Source organism: Homo sapiens, chromosome 12 (genome assembly GCF_000001405.40).
Source record: "Homo sapiens chromosome 12, GRCh38.p14 Primary Assembly".
NCBI classification, from domain to species: Eukaryota; Metazoa; Chordata; class Mammalia; order Primates; family Hominidae; genus Homo; species Homo sapiens.
The window spans coordinates 116,509,241-116,533,024 of record NC_000012.12 but is presented as its reverse complement, the minus strand read 5'-3'; the positions used below and the strand labels follow the sequence as shown (position 1 = coordinate 116,533,024).

The following is a 23,784-nucleotide window of genomic DNA, read 5'->3' as shown; positions in this document are numbered from 1 at the left end:
TTGGGGCCTTGATTTTACAGGGGAAGGAACACAGGCACAAAGAAACGAAGTTACTCTCTCGGGATCTGGCAATGAAAAAGTCAAAATTTGAAGCCAGGGGTCTTCTGACCTGTTCTTCAGCATCCCTATGAGAACATATACTTTCTCCCTCCAACACTCTCCTCCCATCCATAAGTGCATACAGGTGCTGAATAGGAGGGGCAGAGTTGAGTCTATATTGAATGATTGTGCATCCAGATCCTCACTAAGCCCTCTTGGTTTTGCCTGACACACGTGGCTCACTGTGTGCCCCCTGGTCCAGGCCACCTGCATCTTCCTCCTGGACCACTGTCCCCGCCTCATCACTGGCCTTCCTCTTAATGCTGTTCTCACTCCCATCCACTACCCACCAGCAGCCATGATGATCAATGATGGTCACCATCCATACCCTGTATCAACTGTCTCTCTAGCGCCATCTTTTTTTTTTTTTTTTTTTTTTTTTTAAAGACATGGTCTCCCTCTGTTGCCCAGGCTGGAGTGCAGCAGTGTGATCGTAGCTCACTGCAGCCTTGAATTCCTGGACACAAGCAATCCTCCTGCCTCAGCTTCTTGAGTAGCTGGGACCACAGGTGCTTGCCCCCATGCCCAGCTAATTTTTATTTTTATTTCTGTAGAGATCAAATCTCATCATGTTGCCCAGACTAGTCTTGAACTCCTGGCCTCAAGCTTCCCCAGTTGCTGGGGATTACAGGTGTGAGCTGCCACACCTCTTGCCTTAGCTTCCCCAGTTGCTGGGATTACAGGTGTGAGCTGCCACCATCTTTTTTTTTTTTTTATTTGTTTGTTTTGTTTTGTTTTTTGGAGGCAGAGTCTCATTCTGTCATCCAGGATGGAGTGCAGTGGCATGATCTTGGCTCACTGTAACCTCTGTCTCCCAGGTTCAAGTGATTCTCCTGCCTCAGCCTCCCGAGTAGCTGGGATTACAGGTGCCTGCCACCACGCCTGGCTAATTTTTGTATTTTTAGTAGAGACAGGGTTTCACCATGTTGGCCAAGCTGGTCTTGAACTCCTGACCTCAGGTGATCCACCCACCTTGGCCTCCCAGACTGCTGGGATTACAGGGGTGAGCCACCATGCCTGGCCAGGTCCAGAAGTTTTCCATCACCCCAAACAGAATCTCGGTACCCATTAGCAGTCACTTCCCATTCTTCCCTCCCGTTGGCCCCTGGCAGCTGCCAATCTGCTCTCTGTCTCTATGGATTGCCTGTTCTGGATATTTCATGTAAGTGGAATCCTACGATATATAATCTTTGTGTCTGCTTCTCCCACTCAGCATCATGTGTTCAAGGCTCATCCATGCTGTAGCGCATGCCAGTGCTTCCTTTCTTCTTATGGCTCAGTGCTGTTCCATTGCCTGGATGGACCACATTTTGTTGATCCATTCACTGGCTAGGGGTCATTTGGGTTGTTTCCACCTTTTGGCTATTGTGAATAGTGCTCTATGAACAATTGTGGGTAAGTTTTCATTTGAATATTTGCATTTATTTATTTGTTTATTTATCTATCTATCTATTTATGTTTTGGAGACAGAGTCTCCCTCTGTTCCCCAGGCTGGAATTCAGTGGCGCAATCTCGGCTCACTGCAACCTCTGCCTCCCGGGTTCAAGCGATTCTCCTGCCTCAGCCCCCCGAGTAGCTGGGATTACAGGAGTGCGCCATCACGCCTGGCTAATTTTTGTATTTTCGGTAGAGAAGGGGTTTTGTCACGTTGGCCAGGCTGGTCTCGAACTCCTGACCTCAGTCAGGACCTCAACTCCTGATTCCCCTGCCTTGGCCTCCCAAAGTGCTGGGATTACAGGTGTGAGCCACCGCGCCTGGCCTGAACCTTTGTTTTCAATTGTTTGGGGTACATACTTAGGAATGGAACTGCTAGGTTCTGCAGTAACTCTGTGTTTAGCTTGTCAAAGAACCGCCACACTATTTTCCTCAGTGACTGCCCATTTTACATTTTCACCAGCAGTGCACCAGGGCTCCAATTTTTTACATCCTTGCCAACCAACACTTGTTATTTTCTGTTAAAAAAAAAAGTTTGCGCCGGGCACAGTGGCTCACGCCTGTAATCCCAGCACTCTGGGAGGCCAAGCGGGGTGGATTGCCTGAGGTCAGGAGTTCGAGACCAGCTTGACCAATATGGTGAAGCCCCGTCTTTACTAAAAATACAAAAATTAGCTGGGCGTGGTAGCGTGTGCCTGTAGTCCCAGCTACTTGGGAGGCTGAGGCAGGAGAATTTGCTTGACCCTGGGAGATGGAGATTGCAGTGAGCCGAGATTGTGCCACTGCACTCCAGCCTGGGCAACAGAGCAACACTCTGTCTCAAAATAATAGTAACAATAATAATGTTTGCCATCCCAGTGGGTGTGCCTAGCTCCATCTTTTAGATGAGATGGGGTGAGTTCAGGGTCCATATGGCCATAGACTAGATCCATCTTATACTTCTCTCCCCTTCCTTCTTGCTACTCTGGACTTTCATATCCCCAAATTGCCCCTCCGTCCTACCATGGACCTTGGCTTACGCAGTGCCTTCCTCCTTCCCATCCTCCCACTGGGTTCTGTCCACTTGTACCCCAAGGCTACCTCAGATCCTCCTCTGACAATGATCTGTCCCCCAGCCTTCCTTTCACAGCTCCGAATTTGGTTGTAATTTTACATTTCCTTTTGCAATTACTGATTAATGTCCATCTTCTTGACCTGACTACAGCCTTCCCCTAGGAAGGGACCATTCTGCTTTTGCCACCCACTGTGTCCCCAGCACTTAGCACAGTCCCTGGTAGAGACTTTGGGGAGTGCAGTGACACAATCATAGCTACTGCAGCCTTGACCTCCGGGGCTCATAACATCTTCCCCCCTCAGCCTCCCAAGTAGCTGGGACTACAGGAACACACGACCATGCTTGGTTAATTTATTTTTATTTTAATTTTTTTGTAGAGATGGAGTCTCACTATGTTGCCCAGACTGGTCTGGTACTCCTAACCTCAAGCAGTCCTCCTGCCTCAACCTCCCAAAGCACTGGGATTACAGGCCTGAGCCACCGCACCCAGCCCCAGTTCTAAGATGTTAACCACATGTAAGCCTCGGGGAGAATCTCAGGCCCTGGCCCACTTCAATAAATATTTGGTGAATTAATGCATAAGCAATGAATGAGATCCAAGTGTGGATCCTATGACCTTATGAATTTTCCTTTTCTTTTTTTCACTGATCAGTGGCACTAGCAGGCCTCAATAAGTTAGGAACTAAAAAACCTGCTTCAGGCTGGGCACTGTGGCTCATGCCTGTAATCCTAGCACTTTGGGAATCCAAGGTGGGTGGATCACCTGAGGTCAAGAGTTCAAGACCAGCCTGGCCAACATGGTGAAATCTCATCTCTACTAAAAATACAAAAATTAGCTGGGCGTGATGGTGGGCACCTGTAGTCCCAGCTACTCAGGAGGCTGAGGCAGGAGAATCACTTGAACCCGGGAGATGGAGGTTGCAGTGAGCCGAGATTGCACCATTGCACTCCAGCCTGGGCGACAGAGCAAAAACTCTGTCTCAAAAACAAAAAAACCTGCTTCAGCCATAAGGAATTTGGAAACGGATGGCATTCTAATTGCAGAATTAATACTCACTAATGTCTCCCTCTGGAACCAGGGTGAATCTGGCACCGGATTCTGAGTCTTGCTTGGGAATTGTGTTGATTCTGCCTTGCAGTGCTGCTGAAACTCTAGGAACCTTGAAATATATTTGCTTGGTGTAAACATGACCTCAGCGTGACAGGATGATCCTTGTGTTTGCCAAGCCATTAATTTTTATGTGATAACGACGACCACAACAAACTGCTTTTCGCCCACATTTTGAGTTGTTCTTAAGGTCAGGTCTGTGGGATTGTGTGAGACAAAAACCTTATAAACTAGAATGTAGCGGTGAGTTCTCTGTGTTTACAGCCCTGCTCCTACACACGGCTCCAAAGAGCTGAAAATAGAGGATTAAAAATTCATGCAGCTACTTTCTTCCAAGGAACTCCAAATGCTTCTGACAATCTTTATCCTGCAAAGTCATGAGTGGTCAGATGCCCATCCCAAGGACAGGGAAACAGAGGCCCAGAGATAATGACGGGACTTTGCCAGGCCCCTCTACCCCTGCTAATGGAGCAACAGGCTCAGATGAAGAGCCCCTCCCACCTATGTTTCTAGCCCATGCACTCTCCATTAGCCTGATTAAGACAATTGATTTATTCATTCTTAGTGGTTGAGATGGAAAAAAAAAAAAGAAACCAACATGCCATTTGTGTGATATAAATATCTCTGGAAAAAGCTAAAAAACATTGTGTCATACATATTTTCTTAATACCACAGTCAATCACATGTGTCTGTCCAAGTGCCATAGTCCATCAACCCAAGAGTGGGGGATGGGGGTGTTTGGGGGTGGGGATAATGGAGGGGACAGACTCAGCAGAGTCTCAGCTCCAGAATCCTCAGCCACTGCATGGCAAATGTTGCCACTGACTAAAGCTATGCTGGCTGTTCATTTTCCATTACCTATTGCCTTTGAAGAACCTTCTAGAAGTCTTAGAAACTTGATGTTGGGCAGAAAAATGATAGGCAGGGATGCAAAGGTGCTGGGACACCCACTCAACCGGCCAGTTCCCAAAGAAAAAGATGGAGGTTGTCACTTTCTCACTCAGTGTGCCCCATGGACTCACAGAAGGATTTAGATCACAGCGTGGTTCCTCTTCCTCCAACCCTACACCCCCATCATCAAAGAGCCTTTAATCCTGATGATTCACCTGTTAGGAATTTAGCCCAAGGAAATAATTAAAGACATATAAAAAGATTTAGTTACAGGATGTTCGTCATGACATGTAGATTACGGTGAAAGATTAGAAGCAACCTCCATGTCCAACCAACCAAAGGTGATGGCTATGTAAGTTGTGGAGTTCCTCCTTTAAAATTCTGCTCAGATCTCCAAAGAAAAAAGACTGGAAGGAAATTAACCAAGAGAATCACAGAGTTTGTTTTGAGTCTGGAAATATGAGTAAATTTTTTTTTTCCTGGAGTAAGTCCTTGTTTTGGATGTTCTATTCAAAACCAACTTAAATTTGGCTCCAATTGGAAACTTTATGACATCAGGAGGATTGAGATATCATAAAAGGAACAGGAAGGGGCACTCCATGAGGGAACCACATGTAAAGGTCTGAAGGGAAGTCGGGGCAGAGAGGAAACAGCCTCGCTGGAATGGAGGATTTCCACTGCTGTGTGCTGGGATGCATGTCAGAGAGATTTGTAGGCTGTGCACAGACTGTGTATTTTTTGAAAGCCAAGGAGAGGAAGGCACATTAGATATGATAGGCAACTGGGAGCCAGTATAGATTCTTGAACAAGAAAAGACAAATCCAGTTCCAAGGGAGACTAAGAAGAGACAGTCCAAGAAGAGAAAGTGCAGGGGACGAATCTGGTGGTGTCATAATTCTTTTATGGAAGGATCTGACTTTATTGGTTTTAGGGGTAAATGTTTCTGGAGAATCCTAGAACTCTAAATCTGCAAGAAATCTTGAGGTTGCTCTCGTTTTAGGGATAGAACAACCGCAGTCCAAAGAGTTACATCTTCCAGTCATAAGGCAAAATGGCAGCCAAGTTGGTACTGATCACTATCAGTCCTTATTCCTACCCGAGACCAGCTTGTCTCTCTGTTGCCTTCCATCCCAATTCTAAGATTTTTTTTATTTTTCCAGAGACAGGGTCTTGCTTTGTCACACAGGCTGGAGTGCATGGGCACAATCATAGCTCACTGCAGCCTTGAAGTCCTGGGCTCGTGGCATCCTCCCACCTCAGCCTCCCAAGTAGCTGGGACTACAGGAACACATAACCATGCCTGGCTAATTCATTTTATTTTATTTTTATAATTTTGTAGGGACAGAGTCTCACTCTGTTGCCTAGGCTGGTCTGAAACTCCTTGCCTCAAGCAGTCCTCCTGCCTCAACCTCCCAAAGCACTGGGATTACAGTCCTGAGCCGCTGCACCTGGCCCCAATTCTAAGATGTTAACCACATGTAAGCCTTCCAGGAGAACCTCAGACCCTGGTCCACTTCCTGGAGTCCCACCTAAAACTCCATTTTTCCATTCATTTATTTATTCATGTAACACTGAGACCCGAACATTCAAAGACAGACATGCTAATAGTTAGGGTGGAGTGGAAGGGAGATAATGATGGCACACAGTAGGTGTTCAATAAATATTTGTGGAAAGAAAGAGTCAAGGAGGGAAGAAGAGTCCCTGCCCTCAAATAGCTCAAAATGTAATTTGAGAACAGACACAAGTGTTTATATGGGATGCAAGCCGTGCTTTCAGAGGGATATGAGCCCAGGTTCTGCAGGCCCAGGCAAGACACTTCACAGAACCAAACAAAAAAAGTTGACTTTCAACTTCTTTTATTTATTATTATTATGATTTGAGACAGAGTCTTGCTCTGTTACCCAGGCTGGAGTACAGTGCCACGATCTTGGCTCACTGCAACCTCTGCCTCCTGCGTTCAAACTATCCTCCCACCTCAGCCTCCATGTAGCTGGGATTACAGGTGTGCACCATGACACCCGGCTAATTTTTGTATTTTTAGTTGTGGCAGGGGTTTCACCATGTTGGCCAGGCTGGTGTCGAACTCCTGACCTCAAGTGATCTGCCTGCTTCGGCCTCCCAAAGTGCTGGGATTACAGGCATGAGCCACCGTGCCTGGCCCCAACTTCTTTTATAAAAAAGTATTTAACTCAACTAACATTTATGGAGCCCCTACCATGGGCCGGATTGGGGATTAAAATTTCTGCTTTTTCCCCATGGGTTATGCATTAAATCCAAAATGGGTAGGCGATCCCTAGAGAAAAGACAGAGAAGGAGAAAGGAAGAAGGAGGAAAAAATACAAAGTCGTCAGGCTCCCAGAAAAAACAGATGATGCTAGTTTCTCTGAACAATTTTGGACTTCTTTTTCCAACTCCAGCCACCTCATTTGCTTTTCCTTTTGCCCATGGACTCCAAGGTCCGTGGCTCTGGTCTACGGGGGAAGGGCCAGGCATGAGCTACATGGAATCAGACACCCAGAGGCCTCCTCTCCATCTCCCTTTTCCAGTTATTCAGCGTCCTCAGGCCATTTCAATTTTACGTTGCCAAGTGAACATAAATCAAGGGGCCGCCCAGTCTCCTAAAGAAACACTGTGGGACTTCGCAGAGCCTTTCCCAGGGTGTGCACCGGGAAAGAAGGAGAAAGAGGACTAAGCAGAAAGTTACATGTGGCTCCTTTAATCACCAGGTAGAAAGAGAGAGGAGAAAGTTCAAACAGAGCCCCTGCAAGCGGCGCCGGGAAGCCAGCTCTGAGCTCCACTGTTCAAGCAACTGCTGTTGGCATCACAGAGGTTTGTCTTGGCCCAAACCCGTCCCGGGAAACACAGAGACGCTCATGCACTTGGAATTCGCTCCCTTAATGATTCACTCAGCAACTCGGCACAATTACAAAAAGAAGGTGAAAGAAAGGAAGGGAGAAAAGAAGAAAAGAAAAAGAGAGAAGGAAGGAAGGAAGGAAGAGAGGGAGGGAGGGAGGGAAAGAGGGAAGGGATAGAGGGGAGGGACTGAGGGAGGGAGGGAAAGAAAGAGAGGAAGGGAGGGAAAGAAGGAAGGAAAAGAAAGGGAGAAAGGAGAGAGAAGGATGGAAGGAGAAAGAAAGAAAAAGAAAAGAAAGAAAGAGAGAAAGAAAAGGAAGAAGGAAAGAAAGAGGGAGGGAGGAAGGAAGGGAAGGAAAGAGAGAAAAAGAACAAAAGAGAAGGAAGGAAGAAAGAAAAGAGAGAAAGAGAAAGAAAGGAAAAATCGCCACACCACTGGCTGAAGGTGCCCTCTCCCAAATTCCTGGGGCATGACTCAAGTTGGGGCCGGGGATGGGGAGCAAGAGACAAATTTTCTGAGAGCTCCCATGAGGGGACGCTACCAGCTGTGAGCTGATTGCAAGTGAGAACAAAGCAGCAGCGATCTGCAAAGGTCTAACTCAAATGCTGTCTGTTGCACTCCACGAGCTTTGGAGAGAGGTACTAGATAAAACAATGAAGTAAGGGGTGTTGCCAAATAGTCGCCTTACGTTGAGTGCTCATCATATGCCAATGGTGTATCCACATGTTCCATCTCTTATCTCGCAGAGTCCTCACAGCAAACCCAGGAGCAGGGTCTTCAGCCCCATTGCACAGGTGACAGAGCTGAGACCTGACCCATTCCTAACCTGCCCAAGGACACACAGCTAAATAGCCAGGGGGTTCCGAATGTGAAGTTAGGTCTCCTGTGACTCTGTGATATGCCCTTGACCACTCTGCCCTCCAGCCTTCATTTACGGCTCAATTCCCAAATGCCACCACCAGGAATTTGACATATACCCGTAACCTCCCCAATGACATGGAAAAACTGAGCAGCCATTCACTCAATCATGGAAAATTTAAGACCCAAGGCGCGTCCTTCCCAGCTCGGTTACTGAGATGCTCAGCAGCCCTCGGTGCTAGTAAGAAGGGCACACTGGGGCGAAATGCCACTCGATGAACAGGAGCCCTAACATGAAGTCCTCGGACCCTTGCACAGGTAGAATTCAGGGGTCCATAAATTTAACCCGGGAAAAAAATGACATCTTTATTTGCACTAACTTCTCTTTTTTTTTTTTTTTTTTTGAGACAGTTTCACTCTTTGCCCAGGCCAGAGTGCAATGGCACGATCTCAGCTCATTGCAACCTCCACCTCCCAGGTTCAAGTGATTCTCCTGCCTCAGCCTCCCAAGTAGCTGGGATTACAGGTGCGTGCTACCACACCTGGCTAATTTTTGTATTTTTAGTAGAGATGGGGTTTCATCATGTTGGCCAGGCTGGTCTCGAAGTCCTGACCTCAGGTGATCCACCCATCTCAGCTTCCCAAAGTGCTGGGATTACAGACATGAGCCACCGTGCCTGGCTTTGCACTAACTTCTGATCAAATGGCAACATTGTCTTCTATTAGGAATGTAAGTGACAAACTGCCGTGGTATCAGCAGTACCTGTGACTTTGGCACCCATACAAATCACAGATGTGTGTGTATCACCATCAATTGCTGCAGATATATCAAAATATTGTTGTGCTCCTTACTCCTTGGAAGTTACAGTAGTAGATAGACCAGGGTTAGATCTTGCTACTTAGTGGATAATAAATAAGCTTACCTGTTACTATTTTACAACGTTGGTTTTTAATATTTCAGTATCGTTATTACCGTCTAAGTGATTTCCTTGGCAATCAGGTCAGGAGTTCGACACCAGCCTGGCCAACATGGTGAAACCCCTGCCACTACTAAAAATACAAAAATTAGCTGGGCATGGTGGCACATGCCTGTAATCCCAGCTACCCAGGAGGCTGAGGCAGGAGAATCACTTGAACCTGGGAGACGGAGGTTGCAGTGAGCCAAAATCACACCATCGCGCTCCAGCCTGGGAGACAGAGCAAGACTTTGTCAAAAAAAAAAAAAGAAAAAAAAAAGGAAGGAGAGGAGAAAAGAAAAGAAGAAAGAAAAGCACGATTCTAAAAAGTTCTATCAAATTGCCCAAGGGATTTATGGTCTGTACCTGGGAAACTTTGAGGTGAGGCCTCTACTCTGTTTTTTGTTTTGTTTTGTTTTTGAGACGGAGTCTCACACTGTTGCCCAGGGTGGAGTGCAGTGGTGCAATCTCTGCTCACTGCAACCTCTGCCTCCTGGGTTCAAGCAGTTCTCCTGCCTCAGCCTCCCAAGTAGCTGGGATTACAGGCGCCTGCTGCCACACCCAGCTAATGTTTTGTGTTTTTAGTGGAGACAGGATTTCACTATGTTGGCCAGGCTGGTCTTGAACCCCTGACCTCGTGATCCACCCACCTCGGCCTCCCAAAGTGCTAGAATTACAGGCGTGAGCCACCGCGCCCGGCTAGGCCTCTACTCTGGAAGTTTGCAGCAAAATTAGGGAACAAGACAAATGTATTCATCAATATGTAAAATGCAATCATAAATGTCAAACAGGCCATGTGCGGTGGCTCACACCTGTAATCCCAGCACTTTGGGAGGCTGAGGCAGGTGGATTACTTGAGCCCAGGAGTTTGAAACCAGCCTGGGCAACGTGACAAGATCCCGTCTCTACAAAAAGTACAAACATTAGCTGGACATGGTGGTGCATGCCTGTAGTCCCAGGTACTCGGGAAGCTGAGGTGGGAGGATCGCTTGAGCCCGGGAAGTGGAGGCTGCAGTGAGCTGAGATCATGCCACTGCATTCCAGCCTGGGGGACAGAGCAAAACCCTGTCTCAACAAAAACAAAACAAACAAACAAAAAAAGTCAAAGAAAGAGTGAGCTCTTTCAAGACAGGGACTGCATTTTTTAAAAAAAACTCTTGTATCCATAGTACCCCAAACTGCCAACAATCAATAGCAGTATGTTGCCAAAAAGTAATGCCAAATGCATCTCAAATCATCTCAATTTATACTTCTGGCTACTTACAAGCTGAGTGATCTTGAGAGAGTGACAATTACCTTGGCATGCCTCGATTTCCTCATCTGGAAGATGGGCTTAACAAAATCTCTTTCTCAACATTGTCGACACAATCAAATGAGATCAAGGGTGTGAACTCGCCTAGCATAGTCCTGGGCTCTGCACGGGTGCACAGCCAAGGTCAGCTCAGTCTGATGGTGGACTTGCGTTTGGTTTTGTCTTCCTGGAGACCAGAGGCTATTTTCTCAGTTCTTTGGGAAGTGGGGAAATGGGGGTGAGATTTTTGCTTGTTATTATTATTTTTTATTTTTATTTTTATTTTTGAGATGGAGTCTCACTCCGTTGCCCAGGCTGGAGTGCAGTGGTGCAATGTTGGCTCACTGCAACCTCCACCTCCTGGGTTCAGGCAATTCTCCTGCCTCAGCCTCTCGAGTAGCTGGGATTACAGGCATGCGCCACCATACCTGGCTATTTTTTTTGTATTTTTAGTAGAGGTAAGGTTTCACCATGTTGGCCAGGCTGGTCTCAAACTCCTGACCTCAGGTGATCCTCCCACCTCAGCCTCCCAAAGTGCTGGGATCACAGGTGTGAAGCACCATGCCCTGCCTGTTATTATTATTTTTTAAATTAAAAGTTAGATTGAACAGAAAATTGCCTTTTCTGAGACATTTCATCTGACAGGGTCTATGTTTGAGCTCACATCTTATCAAGATAATCAGAATGCCCCATGGTGTCTGGACTGCATCTCTGACCCAGTTAGTGTTCTTTCTAGCGTCTTCTGTGTTACAGACTGGTTTGGAAGAGCTCAAGTTCCCAAAATGCTCCTGTGGCCCTCAGACCTTCCTTCCCTGGGGGACCAGCCCCTAGAAACCTGCAGACTCCATCCCTGGGGTGGCAGCGAGTCACCCTGGGAGAACCTGCATCGGATTTCACCGCTGACAAATTGACCAAAGTGGGTCTGTGTGCACCTTTGCAGGCCCCTCTGATAGCCCTGATCTCTGCACTACCTCTATGAAGACAGCATTGTCTCCCCTCCATTGTCACACATGGAGACCGGGCGGGGTGGGTGGAGGAAGATCTGGACGCTCAGGTCCTTGGCCACCTGCCCTGCCGCATGCCAGGGTGTGATGATCCAGGATTGGAGAATGCCTGCCTTGTCTTGCCAGAGACTGCTTCACCGCTCTCTCGCTCACACATTTGCTCGGAAGATGCCTGCGTCTGTGAGGGCTGGTGAAGACCTGGAACAGCCTTTGAAGGTATCCAGCCAACTGAATTTAATTAAACTGCAGTTCCAGAAGCCAGCAGCATTTTCTTAAGAAAGCAATACAACTTCTAAAAGTCCCCCGATGCTCCCGTGCCGCCCATTTCCTGTGCTTCAGACTACGTCATAAAACTGTCCATGGGGCAGTTTCCTTTGATGATGGATCCAGTTGACAAGTTTTTTTTTTTTTTAGCAAGCATCACAGCCTCTTCTTTCTTAAGTGAGGAATGCCACATTTGTTCTTGCTTCCCCAAGCTGAAGTTATGGGACCTTGATCTTTTCTATGTGGTTTCTTGGATGGCTCATCTTGGAGAGTCACGCTTTCACCAGCCCGAGATCAGGGTAGCATCACAGCAGGAGCCAAATGTTGATTGCATTACTGCACTAAGTAAGATAAAGTGGTGGCCGAGGAATACTTCTGCTTCCAAACATGCCTTTCAGTCATTCAGTCTGCAATTATTGAACCCTTAATACGTGCTAGGGGCTAGGGATAGAATGGTGAACAGGACACCGTAGCTACAATCTTTACCATGTTTTCTATGATCAAGGGAGAGATAGATAATAAATACATAAGCAAATTAAGACATAAAACAGTTACAGATTGTTATACGTGCTAAAAAGAAACAGATGGCTAGAGAATAGTGGAGGGATATTCTTAGATAAAGTCAAAGAAGATCTCTCTGAGAAAGTGACATTCAAGATGAGAGCTGAAGGATGAGACGGAGCCAGCCCTGGGAACAGCCAGGGCTAGAATCTTCCAAGGCAGGAGGAACAGCAAGTGCAAAGGCCCTGGGGAGGGGAAAGCTTGGCAAGCGCTAGGAACTGACAGAAGGTCAGGGTTGCTGGAGTGTAATGAACAAGAAAGGCAGTGGCAAGAGAGAGGAGAGACAGAGAGGCATGGAGGGGTCCCTGCTGAGCCACAGAGATCGCTATGAAGAGTGTGGATTTTGGCCAGGTGCGGTGGCTCATGCCTGTAATCCCAGCGCTTTGGGAGGCCGAGGTGGACAGATCACTTGAGGTCAGGAGTTCGAGACCATCCTGGCCAACTTGGTGAAACCCCGTCTCTAGTATAAATCAAAAAATTAGCTTGGCGCGGTGGTGGTGACCTGTAATCCCAGGTACTTGGGAGGCTGAGGCAGGAGAATTGCTTGAACCTGGGAGGCAGACGTGGCAGGGAGCCGAGATGCCACTGTACTCCAGCCTGGGCAACAGAGTGAAACTCCATCTCAAAATAAATAAATAAATAAATAAGAGTGTGGATTTTACTCTAGGTCGGGGGGAAGGGGAACTGAAATTCACATAGGAACCACCTATGAATCACCTCCACCTATGAAGCTGTGGAATGAATAAATGATTTAGAAATAGTCTTCCATTTGCAAGCTTAGGCATCCAAGTCTTCGGCAATTGCATCCCTCTCTGATCCCCCTCCAGGACTCCTTACCTCTGTCACCCCGTGGGGCTTTTTGCATATATGCCTGTAAATGGTTATCAGAAGACCCTGGCTGAGGTCCTCTAGAGCTGCTGCACTGCCTAACTCCAGGGCGGTAGCAGTGGTCTCACTGTGTTCTCTGTCAGTGACACTCTTTGGCATGCAACATAGACTTGGATGAAATGGTGCTTCCTAGACCTGTGCAATTGGGGGTCCTGGCCTGCCTCTGATGCTCACTAATACATGACCTGAGCAAGTTGCGAGCTGCCTCTGGGTCTCTGTTTTATGGTGTATGAAAAGAGACCCTGCCACACCTACCTCCCAGGGTTGTTGAGCACTTCCAAAGAAGAATATCTCACTGCGGCCCTCGGATGTGCTTCAGGCATCAGCAGACACCCTGACATTTCATTAAAAAAGTGAGAGGTGTGTATGTGTGTGTGTGTTTGCTATGCAAGTGCATTTTCTACAAAAGAGAGGATCCAGGCCAGGTGTGGGGGCTCACGCATGTAATTCTAACACTTTGGGAGGCTGAGGCAGGAGGATCACTTGAGCCTAGGAGTTCAAGGCTAGCAGTCAGCCAAGGTGGCACCACTGCACTCCAGCCTGGGTGACAGAGCAGGACTCTGATTTTGTTTGCAGGGAGAAGAAGGTGCAAGAGAGGGGGAGGTGGGGGAGAGAGAGAGAGACAGAGAGAGAATCCAAGACTGTCTCCTCAGTTTCTCAAAGAGATCCATGATCCACCCAAGCTGAAAAGGTATTAAACACCTGGTAGTTGGAACTGCCTTGGCTCTTGAAGTTGCTCTCTTGCTCTGAAATCTGGTTCAACATTTGCATGTAGATGTTTTGTTTCCTCTCCGAAGTCTGTAAGCCGCTTTGCTTGGTGGGAGGGGGCTGCCTGCATTGGCATTGACTCTTGCCTCCCCACGTCACACCATGCTGACGCCTGGCTCCCATAAACCTGCCAAGCAGCAATCTGTCAGCCCAGGGCCAAGTCCTCCCCACTGTCCAAATTGGAGGACCCCAAGGCCCTTCCTGCTGCACCAATGGCCAAGAGTGGATGGAATGAGCGAAATCATTGTGTACTATCAGTGAGCTGGCGATTGCCTTACTCCTGCAAGGTAATAAGATGCCTTAACCCAGTTAAGAAGCTTCTGCAGGTTACCCCCAAGGAGCCATCGCTAATGCTGGAGATTGCTGGCACCATGGTAGGCCAAGGAGGAAGATGTTTCTGTTTTCAGGGAGAAGAAGATGCAAGTGCTTTTAACCTCCTCCCACCCACGCAAGGTTGACCCTGAATGGTTTATGTGTCTGTGTTACACACACATCCAGCATAGCACCCAGCACATTACAGGCACTTAACAAAAGTAGTAAATAAATAATGGTCCTTTCCAGCTCATATGCCCACCACACCCTCCAGAGATTGTAATGCAGTACACTCACCTCTCATCTAGCCGAATCTTAACTGCTTCCCCCACCTCTTCCTGACAAGTAATAAAGTTAATAATACCTTGTGTGGCTGTTGTATCTTTCTTCGCAAGAACTCCAAACACTTGGCTTCATCCTCATTTCTGAATTAGATTGAAAAGGGCTGGGGGTAAGAGGAAATCCTACTGACCCACACCCACTCCCACCTAATCGATGTTATTTCAGGGAAACTGAGGCCTAGTTAGGACAGGAAATTCTTCGTCCAGATCTGCAAGTCACAGGCAGGTGGGACTGCGAAAAAAGACCTCCCCTGCCCTATTCCCAGTCCTGAATTTAATCTGTCCTGAAACAATTGAAATCTTTTTTTGGCCCGGAGGCCAGGCAGATCTAATTCTGCTAATGTCTGATAGTCCTGCAGTTCTTGAGGTTTGGGAAAACCCCCTTGCTTGGGAAGCTACCCACGGGAAGAAGAGGTCTCTAACAGTATACAGCCAGAGACTGAGAGCTTACCTGCCACCTGGGACCACAGGGAGTGCAAATGAAGTTCCTGCCACACTCTCCAGGGGATATGAATCAGGGATTCAGGGTGGGCTTGGATCTACATGACAAGCTTTGACTTGCCTACCTTCCTGGGCTTCCAGAACAAAGCCTGTGGTGGTGAAAGGCTATATACAATGAAAGAGAGAGAGAAAAAAAAAAAGCATGCCCTGGGAAACCACCTGGCCTGCTCCTGGTTCCCATTAGCTGACTAACTCAAGGAGAAAGTGAGTTAGGAGTTTTTGGGCCTCTGTTGTTTCATCAATTAAATGGGTTTAATATTAATTGCCCTGTGTGCCCCGAGAGGTGATCAGGAGCATGAAGCAAAATAACAGATGGGAAAGTGCTTTGAAAAAATATCAGGTACTCTATTGAGATAACATTGTCGTGAACTTGGCAATGCAGGCTAGGCTGTCTGAGGATCACCTGCAGAACTTCAAAGCTGAAGGGGAACTCGGGGCTCAGAGGGGCCATCATTTTCTGGAAGAGGCCAGAAGAAGGGAAGTGGGTGTGGCAGGCTGAAAAATATCCCCCCTCACCCCAAAGATATCCCAATCAAATCCCTAGAACCTGTGAATGTTATCTGGATCAAGGGTCTTTGCAGACATGATTAGATCAATTTTCTTGAGATGAGGGGATCTCCCTGGATAACCCAAGTAGGCCCTAAATGCAATCACTCATATCCTTACAAATTAGACATGCAGAGAATGGACACACAGAGAAGCAGGGAAAGCAATGTGAAGACAGATGCAGAGATTGGAGTGATGAGTCCACAAGCCAAGGAACACCCAGAACTACCAAATTGGGAGGGGGCAAATGAGGATCTTCCCCTAGAACCCTCACGTTGGTTTCAGGCTTCTGGGCTCCAGAACTGTCAGCGAATACATGTCTGTTTTTCTAAGCCACCACTTTGTGGAAATTGATTACAGCAGCATTTGGAAACTGACACCATGTGAGGTGTGCAAATTCCCACTCTGTGTTGGTAGCAGAGCTGGGCATCCTGGCTCCTCGTCCACCGTGCGTCACGTCGCCGCTCCGCCTGGCATCTGCAGGAGAGGTTAGGAAACACAGTCATCTCCAAAGCTCAGGGACAAGGGAAGATGGCAGTGGCCACTGAACCAGCTGCTTTTGGTAGCATGGGAGGAGAGGCAAAAGGGGACATTGCACATCAAGTGCTGCCTCTCACGAACCAGCCGATGCTGGAACTCACAAACTGTCCCACAGAACAAGCCTGGGATAAAGATCTAGTGTCCTGGGCCGGGCGCCGTGGCTCACACCTGTAATCCCAGCACTCTGGGAGGCTGAGGTGGGCGGATCATGAGGTCAGGAGATCGAAACCATCCTGGCTAACATGGTGAAACCCCGTCTCTACTAAAAATACAAAAAAATTAGCCGGGCATGGTGGCGGGTGCCTGCAGTCCCAGCTACTTGGGAGGCTGAGGCAGGAGAATGGCGTGAACCTGGGAGGCGGAGCTTGCAGTGGGCCGAGATCGCGCCACTGCACTCCAGCCTGGGCGACAGAGCAAGACTCCATCTCAAAAAAAAAAAAAAAAAAAAAAAAGAAATAGTGTCCTCTGCCAAAAGAGGAATAGGTCTCAGCTCCAAATTAGATACCTGGAGGTACAACTCTGTGTTTCCTTCATGCGATGAGCTGGCTCCCACGCTCCTGGGGCCTTCCACTGCAGCGCAGACCTCCCCTGGGAGAGCTGCATGGACACATGTTTTCGGAGAATGGAGACTTGGTGCTGATCTTCTGCGTGTTGTAGAGACGATGGTTTGCTGTCAGTTCCTGCCTGCCATCCAGCAAAAAAGGCTCTGATGGCTGAGTAGCTGATTGTTCTCCAAAAGGCCCATGAGAAAAGCTGCATGTTCAGAACTCCAAAGATTGATTTCTGACCCAGAGTGAATTTTCATGGAGTTATCAGAAACGAGCGCCTTGTGACTTTCAGTTCCCCAGTTAGCCAGCTGCTGATGAGGGAACTCCCTGCTGAATGTCTGGCATCTTCCAGCTTTAGTTCCCAGTTGTATCCTCACACTACAGAGAGAGAGAGAGAGAAACAGCTAGTTCTCTTTTTGTTCTTTTTTTTTTTTTTTTTGAGACAGGGTCTCTCTCTGTCACCCAGGCTGGAGTGCAGTGGCACGTTCTCGGCTCACTGCAACCTCTGCCTCCCAGGCTCAAGCAATTCTCGCTCGTGCCTTTCTGCCTCCAGAGTAGCTGAGATTACAGGTGCTCACCACCTCGCCCGGCTAATTTTTGTATTTTCAGTAGAGACAGGGTTTCACCACATTGGGTGGGCTGGTCTCGAACTCCTGGCCTCAAGTGATCCACCAGCCTTGGCCTCCCAAAGTGCTGGGATTACAGATGTGAGCCACCGCACCTGGCCAAAAAAAAAATTTAGTGTATGTATATTCAGCGTGTCTTTATTTGAATAGGTAATATATGTATATGTGGAAAAATTTCAAGCATTGCAAGAAAGTGTACAGTGAAAATAAATAAGATAAAAAAGAGCATACATCTCCTTCACTGTCTGACTCTAGGCCCCCTGAGTTCCTTCACTAGAAGAAACCACCATCACTTGCCTCTTGGATAAGCTTCCAGAAGAATTTGATGCTATAAAACATGTAATGTAAGTGCATATCCCCTTTTGTTTAACAAATGATAGCATCTTCTACATGCTGTTATGCCTCTTTGTTCTTTCTGTTTGTTAATATCTTTTGGAGACCATTTCAGAGGAGTGCAGAGAGAGCTTTCGTTTGATCTGGGCTGCATAGCATTCCAGCATATAGACGTACCATGATTTATTTAACCTGTTCTATGAGCCACTTTTATAGGGTGCTGTACATTTCCTTGTGACACAAAGGAAAGCCTACACAAGCTTTTGGAATCACACCAGTCAACGATTCAGCTAGGTACTGGAAATAAAACTGAGAACAAATATAAAGTGAGTCGAATGAAATCATGACATAATTGCAACATAATCAGCATTTGCTGAGTACCTAGTGTGGATCAGGGGCTGTCTAGGTGCTATATCATTTAACTTGAATGGCAATCCTGTGGGGAGTAGTTAACACCCATGTTTTGCTACTGAGGCTTGGACAGTTTCAGCAATTCAGCCAAGAACCAAACCTAGCATGCAAGTCCTCTGACCCCAAGTCTGAAACTCTTCCTTGTGTCAGCACGCTGCCTCCTCTAGTGCCTAATCCTTGAGTCTCACTGGGATTTAAACACAGTGTGCTAGGGCTGAAAAATGGGCAGCTCAGTTGTAGACCAGGGTGCTAATGATAACCAATCTCCTCTCCATTACAGCCCTGTCTAGATTCTTCATCCATGCAACATATACTCATTGAGTGCCTCTCATGTGCCTAGCACTGTGCTTATGCATGGGATTGAGATCAACAAGATATGCAAGATTTCTGTCCCTGTGCAATGGGGTTGAATGGTGACCCAATGCCCCCCTCCGCCACTAACTTACATACACATCTGAACACCTGGCACCTGTGAATGTGACCTCTTTTGGAAATAGGGTCTTTGCAATATAATTAAGGATCCTGAGGTGAGATCATTGTATTTGTCTGTTGTGACACTGCTATAAAGAACTGCCCAAGACTGGGTAATTCATAACGAAAAGAGGTTTAATTGACTCACAGTTCTGCGTGGCTGCGGAGGCCTCGGGAAACTTACAATCGTGGTGGAAGGGGAAGCAGGCACGTCTTACATGGCAGCAGGTGAGAGAGAGTACATAAAGGAGGAACTGTCAAACACTTATATAACCATCAGATCTTGTCAGAACTCACTCACTATCACGAGAACAGCATAAGGGAAACCACCCCTATGACCCAATCACCTGCCACCAGGTCCCTCCCTCAACACGTGGGGATTAAGGGGATTATAGTTTAAGATGAGATTTTTGCAGGGACACAGAGCCAAACCATATCAATCACCCTGGATCCCTAAATCCAATGACAAGTGCCTTTTATGAGAAAAAGATAGAGAGAGATTTGACACACCCATGTGAAGATGCAGTCAGGGATTGGAGAGAAGGAGCCACAAGCCAAGGAACATCTTGGGGCCACCAGTGGCTGGAAGAGGCAAGGAAGGATCTTCACCAAGAGCCTTCACAGGGAGCATGACCCAGCTAACTCCTTGACTTTGCACTTCTGGCCCCCAGAACTATGACAAAATAAATGTCTGTTTTTTTAAGCCACCTAGTTTGTGTTCATTTGTCATGGCAGCCTAAGGAAATGAATATACCCTGTAAAGGGATCATTTTTCTTTTCTTTTTTTGAGACAGAGTCTCACTCTGTCACCCAGGCTGGAGTGTGGTGGTGCGATCTCGGCTCACTGTAACCTCTGCCTCCCAGGTTCAAGTGATTCCCATGCCTCAGCCTCCCACGTAGCTGGGATTACAGGCATGTGCCATGACACCTGGCTAGTTTTTGTATTTTTAGTAGAGACAGGGTTTCACCATGTTGGCCAGACTGGTCTAGAACTCCTGACCTCAAGTGATCCACCCGTCTCGGCCTCCCAGTGTGCTGGGATTACAGGTATGCACTACCACGCCTGGCCTGGGATCATTATTTGAATGAAGAAAAGCGTTGGTTGCAAGATGACCCAGGTAGTGCATATGAAAATTCACTGGAGCAGACCCTCTTGTGCTGTCAGAATGATACAGGCTAGTTTCTTGCAGAAGACACTGAAACAAATACAGTGGAATCCTAAAACCCCAAACTTCCAGCTGTTTTAAAAAACAGGCAGCCGGCAAGTCAGCAGGATAATTAGACAGGCAGACCGTTAACTTGCTCCAGTCATCACCATGGAGTGTCATCAGCCCAGGTTTTTTCATTAATGTCCAAGAACTCCTGGATCCCTCTGTCTTCAACAAACACGTACAGTGTGTGTGCTCTTTGGGGGGCCCTATGCTGGGCTCTGAAGGGGGTACGACACAGCCCCAACCCTATGGGGCTCAGGATCTGGTCGGGGAGGAGTAATGTCAGCCCTGGTGGTTAGAGGTAGTGCTGACATTCACCAGGATGCACTGATACAGCGACACAGTTCCAATGGTGGAATACTTCTGTCTGTGGCACTTGGTAAATAGCTGCCTCCCTGAACCCCTAAGTGCCATCCTGCCACCTTGGCTATGCCAGCCCCCACCACCCTTCCTAAGACGCCAGGGACCTCTGCACCATTCAGCAACTAAAAGGATAATGGTGCCCTGGTACAGCAGGGAGGGGACCTCCAGGATCCTGCTTCTGTGCTGTAGCCAAGATCCATTCTGACTGATCAAATGCCCTTGTTGTACTGAGTGACACATTGATGTAGTTTGGCTGTGTCCCCACCCAAACCTCATCTTGAATTATAGCTCCCACAATTCCCATGTGTTGTGGAAGGGACCCGGTGGGAGTTAATTGAATCATGGGAGTGGATCTTTCCCATGCTGTTCTCATGATAGTGAATAAGCCTCATGAGATCTGATGGTTTTATAAAGAGGATTTTCCCTGCACAAGTTCTCTTCTCTTGTCTGCCACCATGTGAGACATGCCTTTCACCTTCCACCGTGATTATGAGGCCTCCCCAGCCATACGGAATTGCGAGTCCATTAAACCTCTTTCTTGGCCAGGTGTGGTGGCTCATGCCTGTAATCCCAGCACTTCAGGAGGCTGATGCAGGTGGATCACGAGGTCATGAGATCGAGACCAGCCTGGCTAACATGGTGAAACCCCATCTCTACTGAAAAATACAAAATATTAGACAGGTGTGGTGGCATGCACCTGTAGTCCCAGCTACTCGGGAGGCTGAGGCAGGAGAAAGGCAGGGGAATTGCTTGGACCCAGGAGGCAGAGGTTGCAGTGAGCCAAGATCGCACTATTGCACTCCAGCCTAGGCAACAGAGCGAGACTCTGTCTAAAAAAAAAAAAAAAAAACCTCTTTCTTTTGTAAATTCCTCAGTCTCAAGTATGTCTTTATCAGCAGCATGAGAACTGACTAATACTAATACACACATATTTTGAGGATCATCACTGATTGGACCTCAATGCTGAGGGGCTGGCTTTGAATCTGTGTCTTTCATCTATATAACTCTAGCTAGTCATCTGAAATTGCAAGCCTTAGGCACAAAAACATGAGTGAGGGTGGGCCCATCTACCCACATCACTCCTCCCTGCCTTAAACATAGCCTCAAAGACATCACTGGTCCCTGCAAACGGCCCCAAAAGGGTCTAGGGAGAGACCTGGGGGATCCAGACCAGCACACACAATGGTCAGGACCACCTCTGCAAGCTGCCAAATCTCAAAGAAAGGCCAAAAGCCAAGACTAGTCTGAAAACCCCACAGTATGCGTGCCCTGCTGAAAGTCAAGGGTCTGAAGCCTGGAGGCAAGGAGGCAGGGAGGGCCAGATCCTGGGGTCCAAATAAGGCCAGTTCCAGATAAGCCAGAGGTTAACCCTCAAATGCCAGCAGGGGCCAGACAGGTAAGTACATTAATGAAGTGGCTAGCCCAAGCCTGATACTGGGACAGCCTTAGCACACTTCCCAAAGCCATGTCTGTAATTTTCAATGGGATGAAGGCAATTTTTGTAGGGGCGGCTTCAGGCCCTTGGGCGTGTCAGGGAATTGGCTGCAGGTGCCGTAGAAGTGTGTTTCTATCATCCTTCTTTACCTTTCTCTGCAAGGTCAAGGGGCCAAACATGAAACCTTTCAGAGTCATTCCGAAGGGTTTTTTGAGAATCAAAGCTACCTAAGCGAGGTCCAGAGAGCAAGCCCTTTCCACAGGGGGTAAGAGGAGGCACCCCCGGGTCATTGGCATTGTTATTATTACAGAGGGTGATGAAGGATGGTGGGTCCTTGAGAGAATAAACTTTCCTAATCGTTCCTGAAACCAAAGATGGAGTGCACTGTATTGCATTATTTAACAATTGCATTGATTCATTCTGAATATTTCTGCAGACCTATTATGTGCAGGTTATTAAGGGGCTATGATGGGGAACAAATCAGAAGTGGATTCTGCCCAGCCTGGCCAACATGGTGAAACCCCGTCTCTACTAAAAATACAAAAATTAGCCAGGTGTCGTGGTGTGCACCTGTAATCCCAGCTCCTTGGGAGGCTGAGGCATGAGAATCACTTGAACCCGGAGGCAGAGGTTGCAGTGAGCCTGGATCACGCCACTGCATTCCAGCCTGAGTGACAGAGCAAGACTCTGTCTCAAAAAAAAAAAAATAATAAATAAATAAAAAGAAAAGGAAAAGAAGTGGTCTTTGTTCTTGCAGCACGTACAGTCAACTGAGCACCTACTATGTGCCAGGCCCCTTGCAAAAATGATGTCAAGTACCCCCATATCACCATGAATTTTAGTTATTGAGGGCCTGTGCTATACCAGGGATGGTCAAGGTTAAGGATATCCGTGCAAATAATAATGGCGGCAACATGAACTGATGTCTTGCTAAGTGTCATGCATGCACTGACTGTGAGTGTTATTGTAGTTAAGTTCCCAGTAACCTCTGGGAACTAAACATAGTCCAGATGAGGAAACCGAGGCACAGAGAGGTTGCGACTCCTCCCACTAGTAAGTGGCAGAGATGGGGCTTGAACTTGCCCTGATTCTAGAGCAGACACTATTAATTATGCTGCCTGCTTAGTAATTCTCAAAACGTCCCTATAAGTAGTCATGCTTAGCCCCAATTTGCAGATTAGAAACTGAGGCTCTGGAAGGTTTTTCTTGTGACGGCAACCCAGGGCGGGGACCAGAGTGAAGCCTCGGCTCAGCTGCTAAAGTTAAAGGGATACCAAAAACCCAGTAATCAAGATAAACAGTATTTAATGCAACATTTTAAAACTCACAAATTGATGCAAAATATCCACAATGAACAAGACATGAAAACTTTAAAGAAAGACAGGATCCCACCTTGTACACGAAAGTCTTCACCTGACTTGCCTCACTCTAACCCCAGTCCTGTCTTTAATTTTTTCAGTTTGTTCATCATTGATTTTGTTGGCAGTAATTTTCAGTTTTTAACAATATTGTATTAAAATTTTATTTATTTATTTATTTATTTGTTTATTTGTTTATTTTTTAGAAATGAGGTCTCACTATGTTTCCCAGGCTGTCTCAAACTCCTGGACTCAAGCCATCCTCCTACCTCGGCCTCCCAAAGTGCTGGGATTACAGGCGTGAGCTGCCACTTCCTGCCATTATTTATCTTGATTATGGACATTTTTTGTTTGCCGTTACATCTTGCACCTTGGCAAGTGCCTCACTGATCTTATCCTAGTATGGATTCTGCAGCATTAACTTCTCACAGCTATTTCATTTATTATTACTATTGTGTTTTTTGGAGACAGGGTCTTGGCTCTGGCACCCAGGCAGGAGTGCAGTGCTGCGATCATAGCTTACGGCAGCCTCTAACTCCTTGGCTCAAGTGATCCTCCTGCCTCAGCCTCACAAGTAGCTAAGACTACAAGTGTGCACCACCCCATCCGGTTTTTATTTATTTTATTTTATTATTATTAATTTTTTTTGTAGAGAGAGAGAGTCTCACTATATTGTCCAGGATGGTCTTGAACTCCTGGTCTCAAGCAATCCTCCCACCTCAGCCTCCCAAAGTGTTGGGACTACAGGGGTGAGCCAG

The 23,784-nt window shown here is 47.2% G+C and overlaps 1 long non-coding RNA gene across 1 annotated transcript, besides 3 other annotated features; it reads right to left on the bottom strand.

Annotated features, from left to right (window-relative positions):
* Positions 4,030-5,229: an enhancer, noted in NCBI's record as "P300/CBP strongly-dependent group 1 enhancer chr12:116965601-116966800 (GRCh37/hg19 assembly coordinates)". NCBI's record gives its function as "activates an origin of replication core promoter dependent on BRD2, BRD4, P300/CBP, MED14 and CDK7 cofactors, with strong dependence on P300/CBP, by STARR-seq in HCT116 cells {active_cell/tissue: HCT116}" and the evidence as "EXISTENCE:reporter gene assay evidence [ECO:0000049][PMID:35650434]".
* LINC02457 (long intergenic non-protein coding RNA 2457) lies at positions 11,111-17,196 on the bottom strand. Its single transcript, XR_001749339.3, has 3 exons — positions 16,776-17,196; positions 15,135-16,207; positions 11,111-14,767 (listed from the first exon to the last, which is right to left on the bottom strand). It is a non-coding gene; the product is annotated as a long intergenic non-protein coding RNA 2457 (long non-coding RNA).
* Positions 13,655-14,155: an enhancer, noted in NCBI's record as "H3K4me1 hESC enhancer chr12:116956675-116957175 (GRCh37/hg19 assembly coordinates)". NCBI's record gives its function as "activates a minimal SCP1, AML or CMV promoter by ChIP-STARR-seq in naive H9 embryonic stem cells {active_cell/tissue: H9 hESC(naive)}" and the evidence as "EXISTENCE:reporter gene assay evidence [ECO:0000049][PMID:30033119]".
* Positions 14,156-14,656: an enhancer, noted in NCBI's record as "H3K4me1 hESC enhancer chr12:116956174-116956674 (GRCh37/hg19 assembly coordinates)". NCBI's record gives its function as "activates a minimal SCP1, AML or CMV promoter by ChIP-STARR-seq in naive H9 embryonic stem cells {active_cell/tissue: H9 hESC(naive)}" and the evidence as "EXISTENCE:reporter gene assay evidence [ECO:0000049][PMID:30033119]".
* Positions 17,197-23,784: the final 6,588 nt, after the last annotated feature.